Source organism: Homo sapiens, chromosome 4, assembly GCF_000001405.40.
Source record: "Homo sapiens chromosome 4, GRCh38.p14 Primary Assembly".
Lineage (NCBI taxonomy): Eukaryota > Metazoa > Chordata > Mammalia > Primates > Hominidae > Homo > Homo sapiens.
The window spans coordinates 68181581-68205714 of NC_000004.12; the positions used below are offsets into that span (position 1 = coordinate 68181581).

At 39.2% G+C, this 24134-nt stretch overlaps 2 pseudogenes across 2 annotated transcripts in view; one reads left to right on the forward strand and one right to left on the reverse strand.

Moving 5' to 3' along the window:
- Window positions 1–711: 711 nt before the first annotated feature.
- FTLP10 (ferritin light chain pseudogene 10) overlaps window positions 712–24134 on the forward strand; it is a 30179-nt pseudogene continuing 6756 nt past the window's right edge. Inside the window, exons 1-2 of the transcript NR_015446.2 lie at window positions 712–1923; window positions 4180–4303. The product of NR_015446.2 is annotated as a ferritin light chain pseudogene 10 (transcript). The remainder of the gene's footprint in view (window positions 1924–4179; window positions 4304–24134) is intronic.
- TMPRSS11BNL (TMPRSS11B N-terminal like (pseudogene)) overlaps window positions 2549–24134 on the reverse strand; it is a 33952-nt pseudogene continuing 12366 nt past the window's right edge. Inside the window, exons 3-10 of the transcript NR_104048.1 lie at window positions 9827–9944; window positions 9671–9736; window positions 6844–7004; window positions 6100–6142; window positions 5408–5582; window positions 4394–4653; window positions 3787–3929; window positions 2549–2674 (exon numbers count right to left, since the gene is read on the reverse strand). The product of NR_104048.1 is annotated as a TMPRSS11B N-terminal like (pseudogene) (transcript). The remainder of the gene's footprint in view (window positions 2675–3786; window positions 3930–4393; window positions 4654–5407; window positions 5583–6099; window positions 6143–6843; window positions 7005–9670; window positions 9737–9826; window positions 9945–24134) is intronic.

Below are 24134 nucleotides of genomic sequence, written 5' to 3' on the forward strand. Positions count from 1 at the left end.
GCATTAAATATCAAGATCATTAATAACTGAAATTTAATATGCTAAGACTACTTTAAAAGGCCTTTGGTATTTCAATGTTTTAAGAAACTGAGTTTATTTATGATATAAAGGAACTAAAAATGCCATTTAAAAGTGATTTAATAAAATTTTAGGACAACTATTATTACACATATACTTATTTTAGATCTTTGGTAAATGCAAAATGGCTATCAGTAGATAGTGTGAAATCCACACTTTCTGGAAGAAGAAAATTCAGTAAGTAAAAGATTTTCTCATATATCTAATCTAGGTCATTGAAGCTCAAATAAAATTTAAATACTGTATAAGGACTTGTCAAGACACTAAATCAAATGTTCAGTAAATACCGATAAAAATTTTAACTTTTTAAAAGTGAATATTACAGACTGTAGTCACTTAACGCCTGGAGACTGTGTGGTTCATAAAACAGGGCCCTAGGCTCGCTTCTGGGGACTGTGGGACTGGGACTATGGCCAGAAATTAACATTTGTGTCACACAAAAAACCCACCTGCAGACATACCATGCTTACCTCCTTCTTGAACTCCCTTCTTTCCCGCCTCCAGTCTCTGGCCCCTACTTAACTTTCTCCCCACACCCCTACCCCCACCGCAGCTTCCAGAACCATCTTCTGGGCCTTCCCATCATCCCCCAGCCCAAGACCAATTCAGCCTTTCTTTTGTGTGCGTGTCTGGTTAGCTCCTTTCCAAAGAACCATGAGTTCCCACATCAGCCAGAATTACTGCACCGAAGTGGAAGCCGCCGTCAGCAGCCTGGTCCACCGGCAGCTGCGGGCTTCCCTTACCTACCTCTCTCTCATCCTCCATTTCTACCGCGACGACGTGACCCTGGAGGGCATGGGCCACTTCTGAGAGCTGGCCCAGGAGAAGCGACAGGGCGCCCAGAGTCTGTGGAAGACGCAAAACCAGCGCGGAGCCCTCTGCGATGCCATCCAGAAGCCGTCCTGGGATGAATAGGACAGCAGTTTGGGCGCCCTGCGAGCCGCGTTGGCCCTGGAGACGAACCTGAACCAGGCCCTGCTGGATCTGCACGCCCTGGGCGCAAAGCATGCAGACTCTCACCCCTGCGGCTTCCTGGAGAACCACTTCCTAGGCCGCGAACGGAAACTCATGCTGACCAGACTCAGCAGGCTGGAGGGGCCCAACCCGCGCTGGGCAGGCCTCTTCCTCCAGCGCAGCAAGGAGCCTGCGGCCCCCAGGGGCCTTCAAGAGGCCCACCGGCCACATCCCTCTGTCAGACCTGGGAAAGCGTCCACCCGAGCCGCTCCCTTCAACCTCAAGATACATTTTTTTTCTTTCTTTCTTTTTGAAAGAGTCTCCCTGCCTGGGGTGGGTGCAGTGGTGATCTCAGCTCACTGCAACCTCCGCCTCCCCGGTTCAAGTGATTCTCCTGCCTCAGCCTACCGAGTAGCTGAGATTACTGGCGCGAGCCGCCACCCCTGGCTAATTTTTGTATTTTTAGTAGAGACGGGGTTTCACCATGTCAGCCAGCCTGGTCCCGAACTCCTGACCTCAAGTGATCCGCCCGCCTCGGCCTCCCAAAGTGCTGGGATTACAGACGTGAGCCAGCGGGCCCGGCCCTCAAGATACTTTTTAACCACCCCGTGCCTTCCCCCAAGCTATGGTCCAAGTAGAAGCAACCCTTCTTTTTACAGAAAAAGAGGTTAAAAAGAGAAAGAGAGGAAAACCCACCCACGAATTCTCAAAAAAGCAAACAAAAACCAAAAAGAAAACTGTCATTGAACAGTTTGCTTTTAAATTTGTTTTAATTAAAATACATTACACATTTTCAGGGTGCATAGAGACTTTTTCAAAATATGTTACAAATAAGGAATTTCCACAGAAACTTGTAACAACAGTAAAGAACTACTACTCTGCCTGGTCACAGTAAGTCTAAAATGTGCTGTTTTGCCTGGTTTTGCTGATGGTGTAATTCTTTCACAATGATTGCAAGAATTGACCAAGACCCCATACAAATAAAAGAGTGTAACTCAGTGCCTACATTCAGACTAGATTTAGGTCACAACCACACCCCTTCCACAAAAGCTATGACATGAAGGCAGATATAGCATATTCCAACCCAATCAGCATAAAGTATTGATTCCAGTCACTCACAGTGACTAATTTGCCATGGACAAGGACACACTTTCACAATTCTAGAAAGTCTGAATGACAAAAACCAAGAGTTTATGCTGTGATGAGATAGCCATGATGTGAGTTAATTAAATAGAAAAATAATTCATATTATAATAGTCTGTTTTTGATGTGAACACTGTCTTTGCTTAGGCTTTTCTGGACCAAACTTGAGGTGTCTTATTTTGTCTTGTTGATTTGGCTTAGAAGTCCACAAATATTCCCTCAGGACGGCAGTTCTTTCAAAACAGCCATTGTACACACTAATTTAAAATGCATGTTAAATAAGGCTTAGGAGTAACTACAATAGTTGCTAGGAGATGATTTTCTGTTAAACACCCGTCTCAGAGGTAATCCAGTTGCAGTAGGTGGTCACTCACGTGTAGACCCCTGGACTATTGATTGCACCACATTCATTCCTTCCCCAGCTCACTACTCCAACAAGGTACCAAATATACCAAATATTTAGAGAATTAGGATGAACTAGTGGTCCTCCAGAGTCTCCCTGAATAAAAAAAAGAATATTTATCATTGTGAGAATTTCCTTTCAGATACTTTACACTAAATGATCACCCCAGATAAAGTTTGTAAGTCATTAGCATTTTACCCACGGTGTAAATCCCTGTGTCACCATTAACCTTAACTGTGACTGACCAGAATACCTTGCCTAGGACTCTGGAGTTTACCTGAAACTGAAAGGTGTGATTTATTTTTAAAATTTATTTATATTTTAGAGACAAGGTCTCACTCTGGCTCCCAGCCTGGAGTGCGGTGGCATAATCACAGCTCACTGCGGCCTGGAACTCCTGGGCTCAAGCGATCCTCCCACCTAGCCTCCTGAGTAGCTAGGAATACAGGCATGCCACCACACTGAGCTAGCTATTTTTTTTATTTTTTGTAGAGATGAGGTCTCACTGTGATGCCCAGGCTGGTCTTGAACTCCTGATGTCAAACAGTCCTCCTGCCTTGGCTTCCCAAAGTGCTAGGATTTCAGGCATGAGCTACTGCACCAAAGGTGTGATTTAATAAGTTGCAAGCTTTAATTCCGTGACAAAACTTTGGAGACATATGAATATACTTGGAATATAGGACTTCATATCTGAGAAAAGTAGCAGAACTCTAACCATGAGGGGGTAAGAAAGTGAGAGGAATTTCAAATGGGCGAAAAGTAATTGAAAAAATTCTGAGACTGATTATTTATTGAAATGTAGCTAAGAATCTGGACTGTGGTGCTGGACAGCCTAGGTTTGTATACCAGCTATGATGTGCAAATTACTAAAATTTCCTCTGCTTCTATTTCCTCATCTATAAAATGAGAATACTGGTATTACCTACATCATAAGAGTGTAATGATGATTAAATGAATCAATATTTGTAGAGGACTTAGAACAGTGTTTGACTCAGAATAAGTCCAGCATAAATGTTTGTTAAACACTTAAAAACATATGCTGCATGTAGGGAAGAATTACTTTAGTGCCAAAGCTGAGAGGCACTTTGACAGGATTGGAAAAGTGAAAATTAATTGAAGTATAGAATTGTCTCCATATTGATGATTTTCATAAAGTAAGAGCAGTTATTTATATACTATTGGTCAATGTAAATAATGGCCAGAATTACCTGGCAGGCGTCTATATTTCCTTCCATGTACCCAGCACATAGCACTCTATCCTGTACCATACTACGATAGGCTTCTTTAGCATTACAAGTGTTTGTATCAGTAATCTTCACAGATGCTTTCTAAAGGAACACTAGGTGTTTACCTAAAGGAATTAAATATTATCAGCAAACAAGCTGAAAGAGCTGGATGACCTTGATTTATCCTTTGTACATAAGACCCATGTTTGACTGTTGCATACTTTTAGAATGAAAAGCCCACTCACTTTCCTCACTCAAAATGATAACAAAGAGATGTTCAAATTATAATTTGAAATATGTTTCTAATGTTGCCTGTCTCTCTTTATCTCTCTTCCTACATCTTTGGACTAGAGCTTTCTCAATTGGCTTTTCCAGGTTAGGGAGGTTCTACAACCAAATTGGTTTCCTTGGAATGTTTGAAACCCAGGCAGTTTGCAAAGTCATAACTCCCTATGCATCATTCCCTAAGAGATTGTCTGAGAGCACTCAACATCTGGAGGTAAGTGATGCCTTTCACTTGACACCTAGATTACTATTTTCCTGTTGCTTTTGTACCTTACATGGTATGTTAAGTTTTCACTGATCTTACCATTAAATGAAAGTCTTCCCCATCCTGTAACAACAACTCCTTCACCAGGTGGAAAAATCTGTGTGGCTTCAGGAAGACAAACTCGATGTACATCATTCTTAAATAAAACTTTTTTAGTGAGCAGTATAAGTGCGATATCATCATGATGTTCATCCTGGATGTAGTCTTCATGAATAATAATTTGTTGAACATCATGTTGCATATAGGGAAGAGTTACTTTCGTGCCAAAGCTGACAGTATAGTTTTTTGGATTTTTTGTCCTAAAGAAATAAAAATCATGTATTTTGTACTTATTTCAAGATAATAGAGATACATTCTGCATCTACTGTACTCTTTTCTTGGCATGAATATTTCCTTGCTCTATAGTCCATTAGCAATGATATAATCTGATTTTTAACTCATTTGAAAAAATCTTGAGTTCCTACACCATACACCATGTAAGGCAATGGGGGAATAGAATAAAAATAAATGGCCATGCCATCGAAAAGTTTAAATCTGGTGAAAGGTAGGTGTAAACACTAGCAGTTATAATAGGTTAAATAGTGGTGTATATAATTAGTGGGACTACAAAATAGGAAGACTTAAATCTGTATTCTTAAAGGAATGGAAGATTTCTTAGGGAAAATAGCATTTTGGATAAGACTATGGACTAAGTCGCATTTGCCTAAAAGGCAAGGAGATGGGGGCAGGCATGTGCAGAGAGGAAGGTACATATGAAATAGAATGTGTTTCAGCAACTACAAGTAGTTTAGGATGTCTGTATTATAAAGTGATGAGAGGTGAGTATCATGTGAAGAAAAAATGCACTGTCCAGAATGAATGACTCTTCCCATTTTTACTGAAAAGTTAGGAAAGTCTTAGATAGGCTTACCATATAATTTTTCTTCCAAACCGGGACACTTTTGAGAATGAAAGGGAGTGCTGCTAATATTTAAACAGGGATAACAGGTGCAAACTGGAACTTCCTCCAAAGCCTTTGGTTTCTGTAGCTTTGGGCAACATAATGAACTTAACACTTTAAAACAGTGAGCTGCAGTCACCAAGTGTCTTTCACTGATCAATGATGCCCCACAGTAGTGTTGCCCACTCATTTTAAGGCTTGCTTGTCATGGTCATTCTCCTTCCTGATCAATGGAACCTCCCCTGACTCTATCAAATGTAGGTGGCATCCTTGCTCGTCTCCCACAGCCTGTCAGAAAAAGTCAGTTTTGCTTCATTAAAAATAGGAAAATAACATTTGATTACAAAGCAGAGAGTGAGCTGAGTTGGCTTTGTGTGGTTATATCTGACAATATCTTGTGCTGATAGGTACAGTGTAATCTGTACAGGAATCACTAGCAGCCAGTGGATTGCTTGCATACCCAACATACTGTCTCCAAGACACCAGCACTTGGAGAATGTGTGAGCTGTGGAAGGCAGATAAAGTTATGGTTAAGTCCATGCTCTGCAACCAGACTCCCTGAGTTTGAATTCTGGCCTCGCCATTTACAAGCTGGATGAATTTGGGCAATCATTTCACTTCTTTGTGCTTCAGTTTCCCCATCTCAAAAATGGAATCATAATCATAACCATCTGTAGGATGGTTACAAATATTAAATGAATTACTGTATATGTAAAACACTTAGAACTGTTCCTAACCAATAGTAACAAATCATGATTGCTGTGCTTTAGATCACCTCATAAATTTAATTAAAAAGTATCTGAACTTACGGTTGTTGATAATTTTTGCAGCACTGACCTTACTGATTTCTGAAATAGAACAAAAAATTCATAGTAAATTTAAAACCTAGCACCTCTGACCTTGGGGCGATGGATTAAGACGATAGGTCAAGCAGGGCAGAAGAGTCCGTAAATAATTTGAAATTTCAAAATAAAGTGTTAATACAAAGGAGAGAACACTGGTTTATTGGAATTGTTCTTTTACTATACATGAATGTATGATATGGAGGTACCATCTTCATGGCTCCGCAGGAGAGACTTCTTTCTTATTTGATTAGAATTGTATTCTACATCATCTAAAGTGGAAAACTGTGAGTGTCTTTTCTTAGAAGAAGAGGAATTCCCTACAAGTGAACCTAATTCCTGTCAGTATACAAAAAGATAACTTTTAAAAAGTGACCTGTCTTATAATGGTGGGTCCACTGCTGTTTTTGAAAGTTATAGGAGATTTTTAAAAGATTAGCAAGACACATCAGTACTTATAAGGACTGTTTAAAGTATCAATATCTGCTTTTGAATGAAAAGCAGCCTGCCCTCACCCCTGAATCAAGTAAAAGGTTTGGTATTATTGTGATTTGATTGTGTTTTTAATAGTGAAGAATACAAATAATTGCTCTGATATAAAAGTGACATTCATTTGAAAATATTGAAGATCAGTTTTGTGTCTGATATTTGTGATATATGCTAGGGATAAAATGATGAAAGTAACACCACTCCCATCATGAGCTTACCCATAAGCCTCAGAGAATTCAGATCTGTAGTCAAGGATCCTGAGTGGTTCTTCAGCATCTGATGTAAGATACTTTCAATTCTTTTTCTTGTGTTTTCTTTCATTGATCTTGGACCCTTGAATACCAGCCATATATGTGCTGTCACTCTGTTGTTATCAGGACTGGAAACAACATAAAGTTTTCATATGTTGCTGAAAACAGCATTTTCTTCCTCTTTGTCTGATCTTTCATAGCTTGGTTTCTTCTGCTCTTTTGTGGGTTTGTGGAGTACCTTTAGGTTAAGCACAGGACCATCCATCCTCTTATATTTGCTTGGTGACAGTATGCATGCAGCTGTATTATTCAATATAGAGGACAAGCAGTTACACAAATCTAAAAAAAGGGAGGCCGGGAGTGGTGGCTCACGCCTGTAATCCCAACACATTGGGAGGCCAAGGCGGGCAGATCACCTGAGGTCGGGAGTTTGAGATCAGCCTGGCCAACAAGGTGAAACCCCATCTTTACTAAAAATACAAAAAATTAGCCAGGCATGGTGGTGGGTGCATGTAATCCCAGCTACTTGGGAGGCTGAGGAAGGAGAATTGCTTGGACCTGGGAGGTGGAGGTTGCAGTGCGTCGAGACCGCACCTCTGCACACCAGCCTGGGCAACATGAACAAAAGTCTGTCTCAAGAAAAAAAAAGAGTTGCCTGAGGCATAGGGTAAAGGTATCACCTAAGAATTGGGATGATTTATTAATACATTCATCAATCATTTGTTGAACAACTGCTATAGACAAGCAACTGAGCTAGGTGCTATTAGGTGATGCAAGGGTGACTAAGACACAATTTCTACTCTCAAGGAAATTGTAGATTTTTAGGGAAGATAAAACATATATACAAATTACTAAAATAAATGAGGTGGAAGCAATAATTTATTTATCTTATCTGGAGATATTCCCAGGAAGGTCAAGTCATTTTTTACATAAAAGATCAGAGAAATTTGCATGGAGGAAGTGACATACACAATGAAACTTAATGTATTTTTGTTTCTGCTTCATTATCAAGCAGAAAATTGCATAAAGCAGAGATGAGAAGGAATATTTCTTCAGAATAATTGATGGCAATAATATTAATTAGCATGGATTGGGCATCTGCTATATTCCAATGTACTTTGTATTACGTAGCCAATGTACTTTGCTATCACATTTATTAGCACAGTCTCCACAACAATCCTGCAGCATAGGTGTTATCTTCATTTTATAGACAAGGAAAAATTGAGGCTCTGGGAAGTTATATAATGTATTCAAGAGTAAGTACACACTACACTAGGATTTAGATTTAGTGCAGTTGACTGCATAACCTGGGCTCTTTACAGAGCTGTCTGTATGCTGTACACTGTCACTCTGTGCCTAGTCATACAGTAATGGCAGTGTCTAGGAGATTGGGCTCAACCAGAAGAGGATCTTTAATGCTAGCTGAGGGGTAGCAGTGATGGAAAGTTGTTGAGGTAAACTGTATTTGAGGAAAATTAATCTGACCATGAGTTTTAGGGAAGATTTGTCTGGAAACAGGAAAAGGGCAGTCAGCCTGAGGAGCTAGCCAATTAGACACGCAGGAATTGTTAAGGAGTCCTGAAGCTTGTGTCTGAAGTAACATTATTATGCTTTGAGGCTTCCTCAGGGATGTTCAATATTTTGGCACATAAATCAATAATAATTCCTGGGAAGCACTCAGGTCACATAAGTTTGATTATTATAGCAGTGTATGCTAAAGTGAAAAGCTTTGTCCTGTGACCTCTTCATGACTGCCTTTTGGCCCATGCTGTTTATAGATACTTGAATTTACATGCATGGGAAAACAAAACAGAGACATCTCCCGTGGTTGCAGTCATCTCTGAGAGATATCTGGGCCCTTCAACTTTAATCTCACATTTATGTTCAATACCAAAATTGACCTCCAATGTTAATGCTAGTTGAGAGCTTAATCTGTTCTACAATTCCAGGAGTCCCATGAGCAGGGAAGAAGAGCAGACATAGTCCTGCGACACTGATGGAAATAAAAGCAATAATTGCCTTCATCTGAAATGTGTTTATTTGTGAGTGTTTCCACACATATTTTCTTTTCTTTTTTATCCTTAGTACTGTTCTGTGAGTGAGGCAAAGCAAGTATTACTACTAACATGTAATGAGATAGTGGAACAGATTCAAAGCGATACAGTAACTTGCCAAAGACTCTAGGGCTATTAAATGGCAAAGGCTAGGCTCAGGTTGTCTAAATCTATTCTATGGTTACCTCGGCTAGTTCATGCCACTCCAAACCCACATGTAGGGAACACAGCATAGCTATTTTACTTCTTATTATGGTGACTAGAAGGTTTTCTTGATCTCAAAGTCTAGTGTAAATATGCTGTCTCCTAACCTGTATCTACTAAGAATTCTAGGGGTATTTCCACAAAGTGTTTAGCTGACTTGCAAGTCAAAAGACAGGAGAAAACAGGATCTATATTTATGCTACTGCTAAATAAAAATTTTAGAGCATCAAACATTGGTCTATGGGACTATCTAATGTTTTCTGAACATAAATATTTAGGAAACCAAAAGGATGACACATTTATAATTTGAGGATTAATGTATCCTCAATACATCTAGTGAACTCAACTATATGGCCCCAATCTTAGGTTTCATATTGAAAAATTAGTCTGACATTTATGATAATGCTTGATATTCATAGCTTATTGGCTAAGGACTATAACATATCAATAGATTCTTTTCACAGAGAAATTTGAAGTGTCCTGGTATGTATGATCAGTTGATCTCTTTTTTGATGGTTAATGTTGGTTACTTACACCAGTGTGATGACTTGAGAAAAGATATATTGTCTGTAAATGCTAGAACTTTGAAATGCATCAACCATCTGTTAACAGAGAAAATAGAGTCAAATATCAAATTCCAGTACTTATATTTCAGAGAATTAACAATGAAATATAGGAAAATACTAACTTACCTAGTCTCAAGAATTTGGCTAAGATAGTTATTTTCTGGTGATGTCTCCCTTTCATAATTGCTATTATATGGGATATCCAGCATTTTAAAGCTACCTTGGTAGAAGTAGATCCTGTTTGCTGTGAGATCAAGAAATGATCCAAGAATTATTTAAATTAAATAAGCTTCAAATCCAGATATAGATTACACAGCAATAACAACTAGTATGTATTGTGCTCATATTAGATATTGATACACTCTTTGGGTACAGTTGACTAGATCATCTAGGCATTGTGTTTACAGGACCAAGTATGAGATAGATATATATTTATATTATGTGATATAAATATATATTATATATATCTATATTCCTGTTTCAACCAATATGTTACTTTGTCTGAACTTTGAGATATATATATCAATCATAAATAGACAGAGATAAGAGAATGTTTGAGATAGTAGATGAAGATATAAAGTTCAGACAGAGTAAAATGTTGGTTGAGACAGGAATATATACTATAAAGAGATTTCCATCTATAGTAATCAACTGTCAGATTATGAATAAAAATAGTTACCATGTAAGTATCTACTATGTGAAGATACTTTAGAAAAACTTTATGAAATGTATTAATCGTTCAGAAGTGTAGTCTCAGAGAGACTAAGTAATTTACCCAAAATTATACAGCCACTAAGAAGAGCCAAGTATCAAAACTCAATTTGTCTGACTCCAAAGCCTATACTTAAGCTATTATATTTCCTTCCTAAAATTTCATAGATATTAAGCTGCTTGACATATGACATGTGTTATCTCCAATGTGATGCATATTCAACATTTAGCAATATGCTACATACTGCATGAGTGCCAAGCATATAAGAACTAAATAAATATTAATATTATTTTGCAATATGATTATTGCCTTTGAAAATCATCTTGTGGAAGAGATGATATGAATGAAACCATTACATGTGATATTAATATGATATAATTAAATGGCAAAGTTTATTTTTCAACTGCAAGTTCTATGTGAATGCAGAAAAGGAGACAATATGATTAAATATAATATCACTATAAATGTGAAAATATTTTATAATGAAGTTGATGGAAAAAGAAGTCAGAAAGTTCTTAACAAAATGCTGAAAATTGGTTGATTATAAGTGATTTAGGAAGGAACATTGTTAATTTCAGTTAGCTTTTCTGTGGGTCATAGACCTTTCACTATAGAGATAAACTGATAAAGCTTTATAAGAGTAGCTTACTAGGTTTTTTTATAAGTAGCAAAAACTAGACCCTGAAACTATGCAACTTCTCTCTCATAATTCAATGTTCCCAATGCATCATTCAGTTATTTGGATTCCTGATTATTTCTACCTATTACAATGTTCAACAGCCATGAATATTCCTTAATTAATACAAGATTAAATTAATGTAATTAATAGATTGGCGGGATATGGATTGGTTGATTACAACTGAACGGAGCTCTCTTCCCAGAGAGAGTGAATAAATTGAATTTGTAACATCTATGGCAATTAAGATAAAGAAAACATACCCTAGAACAAGAAAATCAACTCTTGAATATCCAGTTACTAATTTAATTCTGTGTAGCAGTCTTAATGGGACACTGAGATTGCTCACTAACTATACTGAGGCCACTGTGAATACAGCCATTCTGCTCAGTTGACACCTAATGAGATGAAAATAACTTCTGGGAATGGGATGTCTACAAGGCATACTTGTACCATATGATTAACATTTCCATCTATGTAAGTAGTTTAAATGCCAATATGAATTGAGAAAGATGGATAATGGAGCAGAAAAAAAAGGAAATCATTCTATAACTTTTCCATAACTTAATTATTTAAAACCTATAATTAAATATATTTAATTATATTAAAACCTATTCTGGAAAGAAAACCTAAAACACACACACACACATATATATTGTTTTCCTGAGTGCTCTGGATGCAATATCAGGGTTTAAGCATAAATTAAGAGAGGACTTCTAGCTGAAGCTGACACAGCAAAAACGCTTTTACATTTTCTTACCCCTAAGCCCAGAAAAAGAACAAAAGATAAGAATAGTGGGTTGTATTCTAAGGAAACAAACAATGCAGCTACAACTTACAACTTCAAATTAAAAAATGTGAAGCAAACATGCTCCAAACTGTGAAATATACACTGAAGTGAGAAATTATATACATCAGAGATAACATCTCACAAATTAAGCTAGATGCACATTTTTCTAAAAGTTCTCAATGATTAAGTATCAAGACTTCAAAGATGGCCGGGTGCGGTGGCTCACACCTGTAATCCCAACACTTTGGGAGGCCGAGGCAGGTGGATCACCTAAGGTCGCAAGTTCGAGACCAGCCTGGCCAACATGGTGAAAACCTGTCTCTACTAAAAATACAAAAATTAGCTGGGCTTGGTGGCAGGAGCCTGTAATCCCAGCTACTTGGGAGGCTGAGGCAGGAGAATTACTTCAACCCAGGAGGGGGAGGTTGCAGTGAGCCTAGATTATGCCACTGTGCTCCAGCCTGGGCAACAGAGCAAGAGTCCATCCCTTAAAAAAAAAAAAGAAAAAAAAAAAAAGACTTCAGAGCTTAGAAAAAGACAGGAATATTTCTGTAAAGGCCTATTTTAACACTGCATAATGGCAAAAGTAATAATAAAAGTGAGGGTGGAGCCAAGATGGCCAAATAGGAACAGCTCCAGTCTACAGCTCCAGGCATGAGCGATGCAGAAGATGGGTGATTTCTGCATTTCCAACTGAGGTACTGAGTTCATCTCACTGGGGAGTGTTGGACAGAGGGTGCAGGACAGTGGGTGCAGCACACAGAGCATGAGCCGAAACAGAGAGAGGCATCGCCTCACCCAGGAAGCGCAAGGGGTCAGGGAATTCCCTTTCCTAGTCAGAGAAAGGGGTGACAGATGGCACCTGGAAAATGGGGACACTCCCACCCTAATACTGCACTTTTCCAACAGTCTTAGCAAATGGCACACCAGGAGATTATATCCCACGCCTGGCTTGGAGGGTCCTACGCCCATGGAGCCTCGCTGATTGCTAGCACAGCAGTCTGAGATCAAACTGCAAGGTGGCAGCAAAGCTGGGGGAGGGGCGCCCACAATTGCCAAGGCTTGAGTAGGTAAACAAAGCGGCTGGGAAGCTTGAACTGGGTGGAGCCCACTGCAGCTCAAGGAGGCCTGCCTGCCTGCCTCTGTAGACTCCACCTCTGGGGACAGGGCATAACCAAACAAAAGGCAGCAGAAATCTCTGCAGACTTAAATGTCCCTGTCTGACAGCTTTGAAGAGAATAGTGGTTCTCCCAGCAAGCAGCTGGAGATCTGAGAACAGACAGACTGCATCTTCAAGTGGGTCCCTGACCCCCGAGTAGCCTGACTGGGAAGCACCCCCCAGTAGGGGCAGACTGACACCTCACACGGCCGGGTACTCCTTTGAGACAAAACTTCCAGAGGAACGTTCAGGCAGCAACATTTGCTGTTCACCAATATCCATTGTTCTGCAGCCTCTGCTGCTGATACCCAGGCAAACAGTGTCTGGAGTGGACCAACAGCAAACTCCAACAGACCTGCAGCTGAGGGTCCTGACTGTTAGAAGGAAAACTAACAAACAGAAAGGACATCCACACCAAAACTCCATCTGTACATCGCCATCATCAAAAACCAAAAGTAGATTAAACCACAAAGATGGGGAAAAAACTGAGCAGAAAAACTGGAAACTCTAAAAATCAGAGTGCCTGTCCTCCTCCACAGGAACGCAGCTCCTAACCAGCAATGGAACAAAGCTGGATGGAGAATGACTTTGATGAGTTGAGAGAAGAAAGCTTCAGACGATCAAACTACTCTGAGCTAAAGGAGGAAGTTCGAACCCATGGCAAAGAAGTTAAAAACCTTGAAAAAAATTACACGAATGGCTAACTAGAATAACCAATGCAAAGAAGTCCCTAAAGGACTTGATGGAGCTAAAAACCAAGGCACGAGAACTACGTGACAAATGCACAAGCATCAGTAGCCGATTCAATCAACTGGAAAAAAGGGTATCAGTGATGGAACATCAAATGAATGAAATGAAGTGAGAAGAGAAGTTCAGAGAAAAAAGAATAAAAAGAAACTAACAAAACCCCCAAGAAATATGGGACTATGTGAAAAGACCAAATCTACATCTGATTGGTGTACCTAGAAGTGACTTGGAGAATGGAACAAAGTTGGAAAACACTCTGCAGGATATTATCCAGGAGAACTTCCCCAATCTAGCAAGGGAGGCCAACATTCAAATTCAGGAAATAGAGAGAATGCCACAAAGATACTCCTTGAGAAAAGCAACTCCAGGACACATAATTGGCAGATTAACCAAAGTTGAAATGAAGGAAAAAATGTTAACGGCAGCCAGAGAGGAAGGTCGGGTTACCCTCAAAGGGAAGACCATCAGACAAACAGCAGATCTCTTGGCAGAAACTCTACAAGCCAGAAGAGAGTGGGGGCCAATATTCAACATTCTTAAAGAAAAGAGTTTTCAACCCAGAATTTCATATCCAGCCAAACTAAGCTTCACAAGTGAAGGAGAAATAAAATACTTTACAGACAAGCAAATGCTGAGAGATTTTATCACCACCAGGCCTGCCCTAAAAGAACTCCTGAAGGAAGCACTAAACATGGAAAGGAACAATCGGTACCAGCCACTGCAAAAACATGCCAAATTGTAAAGACCATTGAGGCTAGGAAGAAACTGCATCAACTAACAAGCAAAATAACCAGCTATCATCATAATGACAGGATCAAATTCACATATAACAATATTAACCTTAAATATAAATGGGCTAAATGCTCCAATTAAAAGACACAGACTGGCAAATTGGATAAACAGCCAAGACCCATCACTGTGCTGTATTCAGGAAACCCATCTCATGTGCAGAGACACACATGGGCTCAAAATAAAGGGATGGAGGAAGATCTACCAAGCAAATGCAAAACAAAAAAAGCAGGGGTTGCAATCCTAGTCTCTGATAAAACAAACTTTAAACCAACAAAGATCAAAAGAGACAAAGAAGGCCATTACATAATGGTAAAGGGATCAATTCAACAAGAAGAAATAACTATCCTAAATATATATGCACCCAATACACGAGTACCAAGATTCATAAAGCAAGTCCTTAGAGACCTACAAAGAGACTTAGACTCCCACACAATAATAATGGGAGACTTTAACACCCCACTGTTAACATTAGACAGATCAACGAGGCAGAAAGTCAACAAGGATACCCAGGAATTGAACTCAGCTCTGCACCAAGCGGACCTAATAGACATCTACAGAACTCTCCACCCCAAATCAACAGAATATACATTTTTTTCAGCACCACACCGCACCTATTCCAAAATTGACCACATACTTGGAAGTAAAGCTCTCCTCAGCAAATGTAAAAGAACAGAAATTATAACAAACTACCTCTCAGACCACAGTGCAATCAAACTAGAACTCAGGATTAAGAATCTCACTCAAAACCGCTCAACTACATGGAAACTGAACAACCTGCTCCTGAATGACTACTGGATACATAACGAAATGAAGGCAGAAATAAAGATGTTCTTTGAAACCAACAAGAACAAAGACACAACATACCAGAATCTCTGGGATGCATTCAAAGCAGTGTGTAGAGGGAAATTTATAGGACTAAATGCCCACAAGAGAAAGCAGGAAAGATCCAAAATTGACACCCTAACATCACAATTAAAAGAACTAGAAAAGCAAGAGCAAACACATTCTAAAGCTAGCAGAAGGCAAGAAATAACTAAAATCAGGCAGAACTGAAGGAAATAGAGACAAAAAAAACCCTTCAAAAAATTAATGAATCCAGGATCTGATTTTTTGAAAGGATCAACAAAATTGATAGACCGTTAGCAAGACTAATAAAGAAAAAAAGAGAGAAGAATCAAATAGACGCAATAAAAAATGATAAAGGGGATATCACCACCGATCCCACAGAAATACAAACTACCATCAGAGAATACTACAAACACCTCTACGCAAATAAACTAGAAAATCTAGAAGAAATGGATAAATTCTTCGACACATACACTCTCCCAAGACTAAACCAGGAAGAAGTTGAATCTCTGAATAGACCAATAACGGGAGCTGAAATTGTGGCAATAATCAATAGTTTACCAACCAAAAAGAGTCCAGGACCAGATGGATTCACAGCCGAATTCTACCAGAGGTACAAGGAGGAACTGGTACCATTCCTTCTGAAACTATTCCAATCAATAGAAAAAGAGGGAATCCTCCCTAACTCATTTTATGACGCCAGCATCATTCTGATACCAAAGCTGGGCAGAGACACAACCAAAAAAGAGAATTTTAGACCAATATCCCTGAGGAACATTGATGCAAAAATCCTCAATAAAATACTGGCAAACTGAATCCAGCAGCACATCAAAAAGCTTATCCACCATGATCAAGTGGGCTTCATGCCTGGGATGCAAGGCTGGTTCAATATACGCAAATCAATAAATGTAATCCAGCATATAAACAGAACCAAAGACAAAAACCACATGATTATCTCAATAGACGCAGAAAAGGCCTTTGACAAAATTCAACAACGCTTCATGCTAAAAACTCTCAATAAATTAGGTATTGATGGGACGTATCTCAAAATAATAAGAGCTATCTATGACAAACCCACAGCCAATATCATACTGAATGGGCAAAAACTGGAAGCATTCCCTTTGAAAACAGGCAGAAGACAGGGATGCCCTCTCTCACCACACCTATTCAACATAGTGTTGGAAGTTCTGGCCAGGGCAATTAGGCAGGAGAAGGAAATAAAGGGTAATCAATTAGGAAAAGAGGAAGTCAAATTGTCTCTGTTTGCAGATGACATGATTGTATATCTAGAAAACACCATTGTCTCAGCCCAAAATCTTAAGCTGAGAAGCAACTTCAACAAAGTCTCAGGATACAAAATCAATGTACAAAAATCACAAGCATTCTTTTACACCAATAACAGACAAACAGAGAGCCAAATCATGAGTGAACTCCCATTCACAATTGCTTCAAAGAGAATAAAATCCCTAGGAATCCAACTTACAAGGGATGTGAAGGACCTCTTCAAGGAGAAGTACAAACCACTGCTCAAGGAAATAAAAGAGGATACAAACAAATGGAAGAACATTCCCTGCTCATGGGTAGGAAGAATCAATATCGTGAAAATGGCCATACTGCCCAAGGTAATTTACAGATTCAATGCCATCCCCGTAAAGCTACCAATGACTTTCTTCACAGAATTGGAAAAAACTACTTTAAAGTTCATATGGAACCAAAAAAGAGCCCACATCGCCAAGTCAATCCTAAGCCAAAAGAACAAAGCTGGAGGTATCACACTACCTGACTTCAAACTATACTACAAGGCTACAGTATCCAAAACAGCATGGTACTGGTACCAAAACAGAGATATAGATCAATGGAACAGAACAGAGCCCTCAGAAATAATGCCGCATATCTACAACTATCTGATCTTTGACAAACCTGAGAAAAACTAGCAATGGGGAAAGGATTGCCTATTTAATAAATGGTGCTGGGAAAACTGGCTAGCCATATGTAGAAAGCTGAAACTGGATCCCTTCCTTACACCTTATACAAAAATTAATTCAAGATGGATTAAAGACTTAAACATTAGACCTAAAACCATAAAAACCCTAGAAGAAAACCTAGGCATTACCATTCAGGACATAGGCATGGGCAAGGACTTCATGTCTAAAACACCAAGAGCAATGGCAATAAAAGCCAAAATTGACAAATGGGATCTAATTAAAGAGCTTCTGCACAGCAAAAGAAACTACCATCAGAGTGAACAGGCAACCTAGAAAATGGGAGAAAATTTTCGCAACCTACTCATCTGACAAAGGGCTAATATCCAGAATCTACAGTGAACTCAAACAAATTTACAAGAAAAAAACAAACAACCCCATCAAAAAGTGGGCGAAGGACATGAACAGACACTTCTCAAAAGAAGACATTTATGCAGCCAGAAGACACATGAAAAAATGCTCATCATCACTGGCCATCAGAGAAATGCAAATCAAAACCAAAATGAGATACCATCTCACACCAGTTAGAATGTCGATCATTGAAAAGTCAGGAAACAACAGGTGCTGGAGAGGATGTGGAGAAATAGGAACACTTTTACACTGTTGGTGGGACTGTAAACTAGTTCAACCATTGTGGAAGTCAGTGTGGCGATTCCTCAGGGATGTAGAACTAGAAATACCATTTGACCCAGCCATCCCATTACTGGGTATATACCCGAAGGACTATAAATCATGCTGCTATAAAGACACATGCACACGTATGCTTATTGCGGCATTATTCACAATAGCAAAGACTTGGAACCAACCCAAATGTCCAACAATGATAGACTGGATTAAGAAAATGTGGCACATATACACCATGGAATACTATGCAGCCATAAAAAATGATGAGTTCATGTCCTTTGTAGGGACATGGATGAAATTGGAAATCATCATTCTCAGTAAACTATCGCAAGAACAAAAAACCAAACACCGCATATTCTCACTCATAGGTGGGAACTGAACAATGAGATCACATGGACACAGGAAGGGGAATATCACACTCTGGGGACAGTTGTGGGGTGGGGGGAGTGGGGAGGGAGAGCATTGGGAGATATACCTAATGCTAGATGACGAGTTAGTGGGTGCAGCGCACCAGCATGGCACATGTATACATATGTAACTAACCTGCACAATGTGCACATGTACCTTAAAACTTAAAGTATAATAAAAAAAAAGAAGAAAAGGGAGAAGGATCAAATAGACGCAATAAAAAATGATAAAGGGGATATCACCACCAATCCCACAGAAATACAAACTGCCATCAGAGAATACTACAAACACTTCTATGCAAATAAACTAGAAAATCTAGAAGAAATGGATAAATTCCTCGACACATACACTCTCCCAAGACTAAACCAGGAAGAAGTTGAATCTCTGAATAGACCAATAACAGGATCTGAAATTGTGGCAATAATCAATAGTTTACCAACCAAAAAGAGTCCAGGACCAGATGGATTCACAGCTGAATTCTACCAGAGGTACAAGGAGGAACTGGTACCATTCCTTCTGAAACTATTCCAATCAATAGAAAAAGAGGTAATCCTCCCTAACTCATTTTATGAGGCCAGCATCATCCTGATACCAAAGCAGGGCAGAGACACAACCAAAAAAGAGAATCTTAGACTAATATCCCTGATGAACACCAATGCAAAAATCCCCAATAAAAACTGGCAAACTGAATCCAGCAGCACATCAAAAAGCTTATCCACCATGATCAAGTGGGCTTCATCCCTGGGATGCAAGACTGGTTCAACATATGCAAATCAATAAATGTAATCCAGCATATAAACAGAATCAAAGACAAAAACCACATGATTATTATGTCAATAGATGCAGAAAAGGCCTTTGACAAAATTCAACAACGCTTCATGCTAAAAACTCTCAATAAATTAGGTATTGATGGGACGTATCTCAAAATAATAAGAGCTATCTATGACAAACCCACAGCCAATATCATACTGAATGGGCAAAAACTGGAAGCATTCCCTTTGAAAACAGGCAGAAGACAGGGATGCCCTCTCTCACCACACCTATTCAACATAGTGTTGGAAGTTCTGGCCAGGGCAATTAGGCAGGAGAAGGAAATAAAGGGTAATCAATTAGGAAAAGAGGAAGTCAAATTGTCTCTGTTTGCAGATGACATGATTGTATATCTAGAAAACACCATTGTCTCAGCCCAAAATCTTAAGCTGAGAAGCAACTTCAACAAAGTCTCAGGATACAAAATCAATGTACAAAAATCACAAGCATTCTTTTACACCAATAACAGACAAACAGAGAGCCAAATCATGAGTGAACTCCCATTCACAATTGCTTCAAAGAGAATAAAATCCCTAGGAATCCAACTTACAAGGGATGTGAAGGACCTCTTCAAGGAGAAGTACAAACCACTGCTCAAGGAAATAAAAGAGGATACAAACAAATGGAAGAACATTCCCTGCTCATGGGTAGGAAGAATCAATATCGTGAAAATGGCCATACTGCCCAAGGTAATTTACAGATTCAATGCCATCCCCGTAAAGCTACCAATGACTTTCTTCACAGAATTGGAAAAAACTACTTTAAAGTTCATATGGAACCAAAAAAGAGCCCACATCGCCAAGTCAATCCTAAGCCAAAAGAACAAAGCTGGAGGTATCACACTACCTGACTTCAAACTATACTACAAGGCTACAGTATCCAAAACAGCATGGTACTGGTACCAAAACAGAGATATAGATCAATGGAACAGAACAGAGCCCTCAGAAATAATGCCGCATATCTACAACTATCTGATCTTTGACAAACCTGAGAAAAACTAGCAATGGGGAAAGGATTGCCTATTTAATAAATGGTGCTGGGAAAACTGGCTAGCCATATGTAGAAAGCTGAAACTGGATCCCTTCCTTACACCTTATACAAAAATTAATTCAAGATGGATTAAAGACTTAAACATTAGACCTAAAACCATAAAAACCCTAGAAGAAAACCTAGGCATTACCATTCAGGACATAGGCATGGGCAAGGACTTCATGTCTAAAACACCAAGAGCAATGGCAATAAAAGCCAAAATTGACAAATGGGATCTAATTAAAGAGCTTCTGCACAGCAAAAGAAACTACCATCAGAGTGAACAGGCAACCTAGAAAATGGGAGAAAATTTTCGCAACCTACTCATCTGACAAAGGGCTAATATCCAGAATCTACAGTGAACTCAAACAAATTTACAAGAAAAAAACAAACAACCCCATCAAAAAGTGGGCGAAGGACATGAACAGACACTTCTCAAAAGAAGACATTTATGCAGCCAGAAGACACATGAAAAAATGCTCATCATCACTGGCCATCAGAGAAATGCAAATCAAAACCAAAATGAGATACCATCTCACACCAGTTAGAATGTCGATCATTGAAAAGTCAGGAAACAACAGGTGCTGGAGAGGATGTGGAGAAATAGGAACACTTTTACACTGTTGGTGGGACTGTAAACTAGTTCAACCATTGTGGAAGTCAGTGTGGCGATTCCTCAGGGATGTAGAACTAGAAATACCATTTGACCCAGCCATCCCATTACTGGGTATATACCCGAAGGACTATAAATCATGCTGCTATAAAGACACATGCACACGTATGCTTATTGCGGCATTATTCACAATAGCAAAGACTTGGAACCAACCCAAATGTCCAACAATGATAGACTGGATTAAGAAAATGTGGCACATATACACCATGGAATACTATGCAGCCATAAAAAATGATGAGTTCATGTCCTTTGTAGGGACATGGATGAAATTGGAAATCATCATTCTCAGTAAACTATCGCAAGAACAAAAAACCAAACACCGCATATTCTCACTCATAGGTGGGAACTGAACAATGAGATCACATGGACACAGGAAGGGGAATATCACACTCTGGGGACAGTTGTGGGGTGGGGGGAGTGGGGAGGGAGAGCATTGGGAGATATACCTAATGCTAGATGACGAGTTAGTGGGTGCAGCGCACCAGCATGGCACATGTATACATATGTAACTAACCTGCACAATGTGCACATGTACCTTAAAACTTAAAGTATAATAAAAAAAAAGAAGAAAAGGGAGAAGGATCAAATAGACGCAATAAAAAATGATAAAGGGGATATCACCACCAATCCCACAGAAATACAAACTGCCATCAGAGAATACTACAAACACTTCTATGCAAATAAACTAGAAAATCTAGAAGAAATGGATAAATTCCTCGACACATACACTCTCCCAAGACTAAACCAGGAAGAAGTTGAATCTCTGAATAGACCAATAACAGGATCTGAAATTGTGGCAATAATCAATAGTTTACCAACCAAAAAGAGTCCAGGACCAGATGGATTCACAGCTGAATTCTACCAGAGGTACAAGGAGGAACTGGTACCATTCCTTCTGAAACTATTCCAATCAATAGAAAAAGAGGTAATCCTCCCTAACTCATTTTATGAGGCCAGCATCATCCTGATACCAAAGCAGGGCAGAGACACAACCAAAAAAGAGAATCTTAGACTAATATCCCTGATGAACACCAATGCAAAAATCCCCAATAAAAACTGGCAAACTGAATCCAGCAGCACATCAAAAAGCTTATCCACCATGATCAAGTGGGCTTCATCCCTGGGATGCAAGACTGGTTCAACATATGCAAATCAATAAATGTAATCCAGCATATAAACAGAATCAAAGACAAAAACCACATGATTATTATGTCAATAGATGCAGAAAAGGCCTTTGACAAAATTCAACAACGCTTCATGCTAAAAACTCTCAATAAATTAGGTATTGATGGGACGTATCTCAAAATAATAAGAGCTATCTATGACAAACCCACAGCCAATATCATACTGAATGGGCAAAAACTGGAAGCATTCCCTTTGAAAACTGGCAGAAGACAGGGATGCCCTCTCTCACCACTCCTATTCAACATAGTGTTGGAAGTTCTGGCCAGGGCAATTAGGCAGGAGAAGGAAATAAAGGGTATTCAATTAGGAAAAGAGGAAGTCAAATTGTCCCTGTTTGCAGATGCCATGATTGTATATCTAGAAAACCCCATGGTCTCAGCCCAAAATCTCCTTAAGCTGAGAAGCAACTTCAGCAAAGTCTCAGGATACAAAATCAATGTACAAAAATCACAAGCACTCTTACACACCAATAACAGGCAAACAGAGAGCCAAATCATGAGTGAACTCCCATTCACAATTGCTTCAAAGAGAATAAAATACCTAGGAATCCAACTTACAGGGGATGTGAAGGACCTCTTCAAGGAGAAGTACAAACCACTGCTCAATGAAATAAAAGAGGATACAAGCAAATGGAAGAACATTCCACGCTCATGGGTAGGAAGAATCGATATCGTGAAAATGGCCATACTGCCCAAGGTAATTTATAGATTCAATGCCATCCCCATAAAGCTACCAATGACTTTCTTCACAGAATTGGAAAAAACTACTTTAAAGTTCATATGGAACCAAAAAAGAGCCCACATCGCCAAGTCAATCCTAAGCCAAAAGAACAAAGCTGGAGGTATCACACTACCTGACTTCAAACTATACTACAAGGCTACAGTAACCAAAACAGCATGGCACTGGTACCAAAACAGAGATATAGATCAATGGAACAGAACAGAGCCCTCAGAAATAATGCCGCATATCTACAACTATCTGATCTTTGACAAACCTGAGAAAAACTAGCAATGGGGAAAGGATTGCCTATTTAATAAATGGTGCTGGGAAAACTGGCTAGCCATATGTAGAAAGCTGAAACTGGATCCCTTCCTTACACCTTATACAAAAATTAATTCAAGATGGATTAAAGACTTAAACATTAGACCTAAAACCATAAAAACCCTAGAAGAAAACCTAGGCTTTACCATTCAGGACATAGGCATGGGCAAGGACTTCATGTCTAAAACACCAAAAGCAATGGCAACAAAAGCCAAAATTGACAAATGGGATCTAATTAAACTAAAGAGCTTCTGCACAGCAAAAGAAACTACCATCAGAGTGAACAGGCAACCTAGAAAATGGGAGAAAATTTTCGCAACCTACTCATCTGACAAAGGGCTAATATCCAGAATCTACAATGAACTCCAACAAATTTACAAAAAAAAAAAACAAACAAACCGATCAAAAAGTGGGCAAAGGACATGAACAGACACTTCTCAAAAGAAGACATTTATGCAGCCAGAAGACACATGAAAAAATGTTCATCATCACTGGCCATCAGAGAAATGCAAATCGAAACCACAATTAGATACCATCTCACACCAATTAGAATGGCAATCATTAAAAAGTCAGGAAACAACAGGTGCTGGAGAGGATGTGGAGAAATAGGAACACTTTTACACTGTTGGTGGGACTGTAAACTAGTTCAACCATTGTGGAAGTCAGTGTGGCGATTCCTCAGGGATGTAGAACTAGAAATACCATTTGACCCAGCAATCCCATTACTGAGTATATACCCAAAGGATTACAAAACATGCTGCTGTAAAGACACATGCACACGTATGTTTATTGAGGCACTATTCACAATAGCAAAGACTTGGAACCAACCCAAATGTCCAACAATGATATACTGGATCAAGGAAATGTGGCACATATACACTATGGAATACTATGCAGCCATAAAAAATGATGAGTTCATGTCCTTTGTAGGGACACGGATGAAGCTGGAAATCATCATTC